Source organism: Homo sapiens, chromosome 11 (genome assembly GCF_000001405.40).
Source record: "Homo sapiens chromosome 11, GRCh38.p14 Primary Assembly".
NCBI lineage: Eukaryota > Metazoa > Chordata > Mammalia > Primates > Hominidae > Homo > Homo sapiens.
The window spans coordinates 106,535,402-106,546,367 of record NC_000011.10 but is presented as its reverse complement, the minus strand read 5'-3'; positions in this window follow the sequence as shown (position 1 = coordinate 106,546,367).

The window sequence follows — 10,966 nt, the reverse complement described above, 5'->3', positions numbered from 1 at the left end:
CAGTGAAACCATCTGAACTGTGCATGTGTGTATAATGTTTTAACTGCCATACATTTCTTTTATATAGGATGACTTAGGTTATCTGTTTCTTCTTGAGTTATATTTGCTAGCTTGTGTCCTTCAAGAAATGTGTACATTTCATCTAAATTGTCTACTTTTTGGTCTAAGATTTGTCATAGTATTCCTTATTATTATCCCTTCAATATCTGTAAAACCTATAGTGGATATGTGTCTCCTTCATGATACTGGTGATATACGCAATCTCTCTTTATTTGGTCTAACCAGTATGGATGAGTTTTACTAATTTCATAAATCTTTTTAAAGAACTAGCTTTTGATTGTATTGATTTTCTCTATTGTTTCTGTTTTCTATTTCACTGAATTACACTCTGACTTTTCTTCTTCTTACTTTGGGCTTCATCTGCTCTACTTTTTCTACTTATTTTAGGTGAAGTTGAAATTATTGATTTGAGATTTTCCTTTTCTATTATAGACATTTTGTGCCATAAAATTACTGCTTTAGCTGCAGCCAATAAATTTAGATATTTATTTCATTTTATTATGCTCAAAATATTTTCTGTTTTCCCCTTTGATTTTTTCTTTGGAGTTTCCAAATATTTGAGGTATTTTTCAGATATCTTTCCATTATTGATTTTTATCCCTCTTTTTGGTCAGAGAACATATTTGTTATGGCTTAAATTCTTTTACGTTTATTGATACTTGCTTTGTGACCCCACATAAGGTCTTAGTAAATATTGCATGTGCACATAAAAATAATGAATATCTTCACGTTTTTATTTTATGAATATCAATTACGCACAATTATCTGAGAGTGTTGTTAAAGTCTTCTGTATTTCTATGGATTTCTGATTTTGGTTATATCAACTAGTGAGAGAATGGTTTTGAAATCTCCACCTGAAATTGTGAAATTTTCTAATTTTTTGTCCTCGTGAGCAGTTGACTCTTTATCATTATGAAATGAACTTTAACTTTAGTAATAGTCTTTGCTCTGAAATCTACTTTGTTGTTAACATCATCACTCCAGCTTTATTTTGATTAGTTTCACCATGTTGTATCTTTTTTCATTATTTTACTTTTATCCTATTTATGTCTTTATGTTTAAAGTGACTTTCTTGCAGATAGCATTTAATTGGGCCTTGCTTTTTCATTTTTTTAATTTTTGAGACAGAGTCTTACTCTGTTGCCCAGGCTGGAGTACAGTGACGTGATCTCAGCTCACTGCAGCTTTGACCTCTGGGGCTGAAGTGATTCTCCCACTTCTGCCTCCCAAGTAGCTGGGACTACAGGTCCATGACACCATGTCCAGATAGTTGTTTTGATTTTTTTTTTTTTTTTTTTTTTGGTAGAGACATAATCCTGCTCTGTTGCCCAGGCTGGTCTCAAGCTACTGGACTCAAGCCATTCACCCACCTTGGCCTCCCAGAGTGCTGGGATTACAGCTGTGAGCCACCACACTCAGCTGGGCCTTGCTTTTTAAAATCCAGCTTGACAAATCTTTGCCTTTTAATTGGCATATTTTGACCATTTATAATTATTTGATTTTTAATATGATTAAGGTCAAATCTATCGTCTTGCTTTTCATTTTCTATTTGTTCCATCTCTTAACTATTTTTTCCTCTTTTCATTTCCTTTTTTGAATTGTTATTTATTATTTCATTTCATGTCCTTTTTTCTGGCTTATTAGCTATGACCCTACCTTGTTATATCAGTGGTCACATTCAAGTTTATATTAAACAGCTTCAACTTAGCATGGTCTATCTTTAAGTGATATTATATCATTTCACATATAGTCTAAAATCCTTATATTGGTATAATTTCACTTATCACTTCTTGGTTCTGTGCCAATATTTTCATCATTTTTCTTCCACGTAGTTATTAACTCAACCCTATATTGTTATTATTTTGTTTAAAAATTAATGATTGTTTAATGTAAGTTAAATAATAATAAGAGAAATCTTATGTATTTACCCAGGTAGTTACCATATTAATGCTTTTTGTTCTTATGTGTAGTTCCATCTGGTAGCATTTTCCTTCTGTCTGAACTTCCTTTAATATTTTTTGTAGGGTACTCTGCTGGTGATAAATTCTTTCAGCTTTTCTGTGTCTAAAAAAAATGACTTTTATTTGTTGTTGTTGTTGTTTTGAGATGGAGTCTCGCTCTGTCGCCCAGGCTGGAGTGCAGTGGTGCCATCTCGGCTCACTGCAACTTCCACCTCCTGGATTCAAGCGATTCTCCTCCCATCAGCCTCCTGAGTAGCTAGGATTACAGACATGCGCCACCATGCCTGGCTAATTTTTGTATTTTTAGTAGAGACGGGGTTTCACCATGTTGGCCAGGCTGGTCACGAACTCCTTACCTCAGGTGATACACCCACCTCGGCCTCCCAAAGTGCTAGGATTATAGGCGTAAGCCACTGTGCCTGGTCACAAAATGACTTTTTATACCTTAATTTTTGAGAAATATTTCATGTCTTGCTTTTAAGATTGGTTAAGTTAGTCAGAGTAATCTTTAGTCTAGTTGTAATTATTCCTCACTAAGTCAATTCCTCTGAGTGTTCTATGTAATGCCCTATGTAAAACTTCCAGAATAGAAGATTTTCTACTCTGCCAAGGACAAAATAAAATATTCCCACTGCTGTTTCCTCTAATCTTAACTTCTTCAGGTGATTCTTCCTTCAGCTTTGGAAGGAAGCTTTTAGAGTTTCGTCACATACACATGTTGATCAGTTCTTGCCTGAATTATTGAAAAGGATTTTTGGCAGATTTTAGCAATTCTTTTTCTGTGCAGCTGTCTCCTCTCCTATATCTTACTGTATGCCTAGAAATTCTCCATGCTGTGACTGGGCAATTTATTTCCTGTCTCTCAGGTGTCACTGCCTCTCATTGCTTGACATCTACCTTAAGAAAGCTATTATTTCATATATTTTTGTCAACACTCTTAGTTGTTTTAAGTGGGAGACAAGTCTAGTCTTGGTTATTCCATATTGGCTGGAAGCTGAAGTCTTAAAGATCTTAAGAATGAGAGTGCCATGATAGAATATGCATTTAAGAATATAATTCTCACTGTTATGTGCAAATTGATTGGAAATGGAGGGTTGCAGCTAAGAGATTATTTAAATAGTCCAGACAACGTGTTTTGGACAAGGATGATATCAGTGGGTTTGAACACAATTTGAGAAATATTTCAAAATTATAATTGATGAAATCTGATAGTTGAAGGTTTAAAGGCTGATAATATATGCCTCTGAGTTATTGGATGATGGTTATATGATAATCCAATGACTGAAACATCAGAAAGGGGCAAGCGTGGGGCTGCTCAAGTTTGATGGGGGAAATGACTTATTAAATTTCAGATTTGTTAATTTTGAAGTAGCTATCAGAGAGCCAACTACAGGCATTCAGTAAACAGTTGGCAATCTGTGTTTAAAGCTCAAAGAAAGGAAAAGGACATGTCAGTTGAAGATAAAAATATAAATGGATTCTTTAGCACTTAGAGCAGATGAAATCAAATGGGGAGAGTTGTATAGGCAGAAGAGAAGAAAGCCTGAGAATATAAGCATATAAGAGACAGAGAGAGGAGGAAGAAAGAAAAAGAGGAGTCTGGAATGTGCTATAAGGCAAGAACTATTTAGAATACCATTATTCAAAGGGAGTGGGAAAATGGCTCAGGGAAATAATTAATACAGTGATACTAATGTAAAGTTTTACTACTTCCTTTTGTATTCAAACAAATGTAAACAAATAATAAAAATTTGTAAAAAAAAAGTCTCAAATCTCATAAATAATCAAATACATGTTTAAACAATATTTTCACTGAATTAGTAAATATTTTGTAAAATATTGAGAGAAAAAGAAAATACATGTTAGAAATGGTATGATCATCATCACTGGCCATCAGAGAAATGCAAATCAAAACCACAATGAGATACCATCTCACACCAGTTAGAATGGCAATCATTAAAAAGTCAGGAAACAACAGGTGCTGGAGAGGATGTGGAGAAATAGGAACACTTTTACACTGTTGGTGGGACTGTAAACTAGTTCAACCACTGTGGAAGTCAGTGTGGCGATTCCTCAGGGATCTAGAACTAGAAATACCATTTGACCCAGCCATCCCATTACTGCATATATACCCAAAGGACTATAAATCATGCTGCTATAAAGACACATGCACACGTATGTTTATTGCGGCACTATTCACAATAGCAAAGACTTGGAACCAATCCAAATGTCCAACAATGATAGACTGGATTAAGAAAATGTGGCACATATACACCATGGAATACTATGCAGCCATAAAAATGATGAGTTCATGTCCTTTGTAGGGACATGGATGAAATTGGAAATCATCATTCTCAGTAAACTATTGCAAGGACAAAAAACCAAACACTGCATGTTCTCACTCATAGGTGGGAATTGAACAATGAGAACACATGGACACAGGAAGGGGAACATCACACTCTGGGGACTGTTGTGGGGTGGGGGGAGGGGGGAGGGATAGCATTAGGAGATATACCTAATGCTAAATGACGAGTTAATGGGTGCGGCACACCAGCATGGCACATGTATACGTATGTAACTAACCCACACATTGTGCACATGTACCCTAAAACTTAAAGTATAATAATAATAATAAAAAAAAGAAATTTGTCAATAAACAATAGTGTCTACCCAAAAAAAAAAAAAAGGTCAATGCACAGACATTTAAAATGTAGTTTGGTACAATGTTTGTAGAAAGCAATTTGATAATGCAATTTGACCCAATTATATGTATTTACTATATATTTATTATAATGCTATTCATTTCAGAAAAACTTAGCAACACCAGAAAACTTACACAAAAGGAAATAATAAGTTAATAATGCCATCTTCATATAAAAACATAATTTTTAATACTTATGATAATAAGGTTTTTAATAACAGGGACATAATTTTGATATGAGGTTAAGTGAAAATTTTAAGTACAATATATTTTCAAATATCTAAAAATACATTGTGAAAAGACTTTAGCTTCAAATACTTTGAGTAATTAATTGGATTATTAAGTTATTCTTTTTATTGAAATTATTAAATGAGATGGTTTTATTTTTTATTAGGTTATTCTTAAAAAATACTATGAATGAGTAAATTTGGGGTATCCACCATGTTAGGCAGTTAGAGTTCCACTTCTTTAAAACAGGAATAAAATTGTTGCGCAGTTTACCTAATTGAGTTAAAGGGGGTTTTATATTTGTCCGAGTGACTCCACAGGAGACCGTATTTTGCTGTAAAAGTCTACTACAAATATAACATTTTCAGTAAGAGCAAAAAACAGCTAAAGCCTTCTAGGAAAGGGTAAACCCTGATAGATCAATTTCTCTGGCTCTTAGATAAATTTTAGACATTAAATGTCACTCAGAACATTAGTAAGAAACTAAGAAACATATTCTTTTTAAAAATCCCTATTTTTTAAATATGCAAAGCTTCTGAAAAAGTAATTATTCACAAGGCTAATACACATATCAAATGACTGAGTTAAAATTGTGTATTTAATAGCTATAGTATAGACTCATATCAATTTTAAAGGTCAAATTATTCCTTCTGATCTTCATAACATATAGTGAAGTCTGTGTTTTAACACTTCACCTGACATATGCCAGCAAAATATGCACTCCTAAATATGTGCAAAAAGAATAATTATGTGTGCTGTTATGAAAGGAAACACTGAATTAAAATTCTGAGCTTTCATTCTAAAAAACATTTATTTTTAATTTTATACTAAACAAACTTTTATGCACATACTGTGTGCCAAGAACTGTTCTAGACTCTGGGATGTCAAGGGGAAAGTCAGAGTGCACAGACTGAAGGAGAAAGATATAAACAATTTAATGATAAGAATCTACCACAAAGGTACATACAGGGTATCCTAGGAACACAGAAGAGGGATATTTAATCAGAGCAGGAAGTAAGAGGAGGGTTGAGATCAGGAAAAGTATTTTAAGAGTTTAAGATATCTGAACTGAGTTTGTAAGGAGTAATAGGATTTAGCCTGGTAATAATGGAAAAGGGCAGCAGGCAGAGGAAACGGTCTGAGCAAAAGAAGCTAAAAAAATGAAATGAAATAAAATAGGATGGCATATTGGTCGTGCAGGTCATGACTTGCTTCATGGTTGTGAAACCTGTGCCGTCACATAAGTCCTGTGCTTAGAAGAACCCCACACTTAGTTAAATGCTTTCTTGTCGTCTTCTTAAAATTCTTAATAATATTTGAACATGGTGTCTGTAATTTCATTTTGCACTAGGCCCCACAAATTATGTGATCAGTCCTGGCTGGAACATAAATTAGCACGAGCAGTAGTGAGAAAGGTCCCAGGAGGCCAGCTTATGTCACAGCCTCAATGGCATGGTTTAGAGTTTGAGTTTTCCTCAAAGTCACAGCAGCCTCTAAAAAGAATTTAAGCTGAAGGTGTCAGTTGTGTATTTTGTAGCAAAAACATTGATTGTAGAATAGAGAATGAATCAAATGGGGACAAGTCTGGAGATAGAGAAACAATGGGAAGTTACTGCAGTAATTTGGAAATGAATTATTAGGATATGAACTCAGGAATGGCAATGAACATGAGAAGATATCAGGATTTCCAGAGACATTTAAGGTATAATGAAAGGACTTGGTGACCAACAGAATGAGTGAGAAGGAAGAGTTAGGAATTATTTTAGACCATACCATTTATTAAAACAGAATATTCATGAAGAGGCAGGCTTTGGGAGAAGGTAACTTCATTCATTTTTTCCGTATTCCAGCTTTCCATACAGTATATGAGTGAGGCAGCCCTACCTACATGATGTGATCTGGGAGGCTCTAAATGTTTTTCTTCTTCCAGTCTACCCCTAGAGGGGTAGATGACTGCTAGTGCCACTTTAATCACTATCCTTTGGGTTAAGGCATTGGAAAAGAGGGCTTCTGGAAAACTACAGACATATTACCTGGTGGTGATAATCATCAACCTTCAATTACTTGTAGAGAGGAGGGTCTTTATGTGGAGAGGAGTAGCAAGTATAATTGTGCTGTATCATAGCCAGGGTGGTCAGAGTTGGAGAGGGCATTTAAAAGAAAAGCACATCAAAAACTAGTTTTACCTCCTTATTTGCATAACAAGATAGGTCTTCATAGAATGGGTTTATAAAGAAAATGATGCAAAGGACCATTTTAATTTTTCTAAATTAATTACACAGTAGCCAAATGATGTTAATATGCAATACAAACAGAAACTTTGGCAGCTTTAGCATTCTTTTAGGACATTTGTATCTTGGTTTTGATTGTAACATAAAATCCTTAAGTATTTGGCTGCTCTGAAAAATACAGGATAAAGAATCACCAATTAACAAACCTTTATTTAGAGAATTAATAGGGGCACTCTGCAAAATATTCATAATTTATGTATTACAAATCCAGACTAACACACAGACATTCACACATATTCATCACAAACTTTTCCTTTGAGGGAGTTTCATGAACAAATTCTCAAGAAAGTAAAACAACAAGAAAAAGACAACAAGATAAGAAAAAGGAGAGGAAAAAAAACAAAGAAAAAACGTAAGATGAATCCCACAGATTCTAAAACTGAAAGTAGGAATTGAAAACAGACACAACAGAGATATCTAAAGGGAGTAAATTACCAAATAATAAATAAAAAGAAATTGCTAGAACCGAAGGGAAAGAGTTTCCAAGTTGAAAGTGCTCATCAAGTGTCTAGCAAAACGAATGAGAAAACGCACAAACAGCAACATATATTGTCAAGAAATTTGAGAACACTGTAGACAAAGAGAAGATTCTAAAATCTGAAACAGACAGAAATAAAGATGAGAGAGGATGAGAAAGGGAGGGAGAGAATAAGAGAGAAGGAACAAGATGGAGAAAGTGATTTGGGGAGAGAGACAGAATATATATGCAAAGTGTCTAGAATTTGAACGGCATCAAATTTATAATGGTAAAGATGGAAGCTAAATTAATATGGAGCAATGCTTTCAAACTTCTGAGGAAAAATGATTTTCAACATAAGATTGTACATGTAGCCCAAATAATCAAGAGGGAGGATAGAATAAACACATTTCAGTCATAAAAGTTCTCCAGATTTCACCACCCATCCTTTTTCACGTAGCACCTGGAGTGAACCAAGAGAGGAAAATATCAGAATACAGGAAAAGAGGGAGAGGGAATCCCCAAGAAGACTATAAATAGATGTCCAAGGTTAATTAGGTTTCTACAGTTCTAGGAAACAGCCAATCCATATTTTATTAGGAGAAAGAAAGGCTCCAGAAGGTTTGTTTCAAGGAAAAAAAAAAAAGATGAAATGGTTAGATTACTCAGCATGTTTAAACATATCAGGATGATTTATACCCATGATAGAGAATTTGTGGATATGTTAGTACCAAGTAATTAGAAAATAAAGCAATCAAAAATGAATCAATGATTAACTCCAAGAAAAAATAAAAGATTATACAAAAAGTAAATGTATATTATCTGGTTTACCTGTGAATAGTATTTACATGGATATAATGATGTACACATTGAGTAGTTATCAAGCTAAAACTTATAAAGATATAAACTATCTTGGAAGCATGGAGAAGGGAGGAAAGCCTGTGTAGTTGGAGGAAGCTACCATAGTGGGAGTTCAACAATTAGATGTGAAGCTGCAAAAAACAACAACAACCAAAACAAAAGCCGTAAAATGCAGTATAAATATTTTATTCAGCAATATGGATGTAAATATCAAAACAAGCAGCCAAATAATTGCAAGTGGTTGTCTCTGGGAAGATTATGCCTTTAAACTAATGGATAGAAATTAAAATTTTAAAATGGGGTGCTGTTGGGACAGTTCTAGATACGTTTACCATGCAGAGGGAACAGTATGAGCAGGGACAAGAAGTTTGATGGTAAATGGTATAATCAGTCACTGTCAAGTAATACAGTGTGGTCTAAATAAAGATCTGGAGAGGGAAAATAAGTAGTAAAACATAAGGCTGGAAATAGAGGTTGAGTGAGACAAGAACACGGACACATTTGAGTTCTCCGTGAAAGGGTTTGGACTTTAATTTCTGGCTTTAGTGTTTATTTCTCTCAAAATTGCCCATGCATCTGCCAGGAGAAACTCCAGAAACCATGTTTCTGCTAATTGATCCTGTAGCAGACTATTGAAAGGTGAACAGCTGACATATATATATATATATATATATATATATTTGTCAATTATTCTGTCTTAGGAATCCAGAATTTTAAATTCAGAAACACAGGGGTAGGAGTTATGTGTAACTGAGTCACATTACTTATAGTATTTAGAGGGAAGTTTTAAAAAGTAGCACTCATTATATTCCCGGAGAAGTTCTGATTTTTGTTTTTCCCAAAGTCTTAGTTGCTTGGCTGTGCTCTGAATTTTTTGAGATAGACATACTCCATTAATACATTCACGTTGTGCTTTAGCTCTCAAAATCTGTTTCTGTTATTTATATCTTAATGAATGCCCAGGCAATTGAGAACACTCATAAACTATTCTCCCTCACAATACAACATAAATATATTTTTTTAAATTTTACTTTAATTTCCAGGATACAAGTGCAGACCGTATAGGTTTGTTACATCAGTATACATGTGCCATGGTGGTTTGCTGCACCTATCAACCTGTCATCTAGGTTTTTAGCCCTGGATGCATTAGGTATTTGTCCTAATGCTCTCCCATCCCTTGCTCACAACCCCTAGACTGACCCCAGTGTGTGTTGTTCCCCTCCCTGTGTCCATGTGTTCTCATTGTTCAACTCCCACTTACCACTTATGAGTGAGAACATGCAGTTTGGCTTTCTGTTCCTGTGTTAGCTTGCTGAGGATGATGGCTTCCAGCTTTATCCATGTCCCTGCAAAGGACATATCTCATTCCTTTTTATGGCTGCATAGTATTCCATGGTGTATATGTGCCACATTTTCATTATCTAGTCTATCCTTGATGGGCATTTGTGTTGGATCCATGTCTTTGTTATTGTAAATAGTGTTGCAATAAACATACATGGACAAGTGTCTTTATGGTAGAATGATTTATATTCCTTGGGGTACACACCCAGTAATGGGACTGCTGGGTCAAATGGTATTTCTGGTTCTAAATCCTTGAAGAATCACCACACTGTTTTCCACAATGGTTAAACTAATTTACACTCCCACCAACAGTGTAAAACTGTTCCTATTTCTCCACAGCCTCACCAGCATCTATTGTTTCCTGACTTTTTAATAATCACCATTCTGACTGGCGTGAGATGGTATCTCATTGTGGTTTTGATTTGCATTTCTCTAACGATCAGTGATGTAAAACAAACTAAAAGTGAGCAAAGGAAATAACAGACACTTCTAAAAAGAAGACATTTATGTGGCCAATGAACATATTAAAAAACAAATAAATATTGAACACAATTGAAGACACAATTGAAGATGATATTCCCTTCAGGGCTAGTGCTTTTCAGCAGGCTAGTAGCCTCTTGAAATAAGTTTTCAATCTTTGGAAGCATCCAAGTTAAAACAAGATGACCACTTGATGGGAATGCCAGAGAGGAGTTCCTCAGGAGGAAATTCCTTTAAAGGATGCTTAGCCTCTCACTCTTTTCTTGGGTCTACTTCTCAGGGATTGTGGCACATTAATACTTGAAATATTTTGGGGATTTCACTGTCTACTTTCCCTTCAAAAACAAATATCTCTGCCCATGGCACTGATAAATGAACAGTGACCATATTTTGTAGCAAAATCTCCTGGTTCTTTAATCACACACTATCAGACGAAGGTTGTACAATTGACCCAAGTACAGTCAACTGGCAAGTCAACAAATTACTGTATGATCTCACATTTAAAATCCATAGCTTGGTGTGGTAAGATATAATGAGGCAATCAATTTCTTCTTTGGGAATTCTTAGATTAGGACTATTTATATGA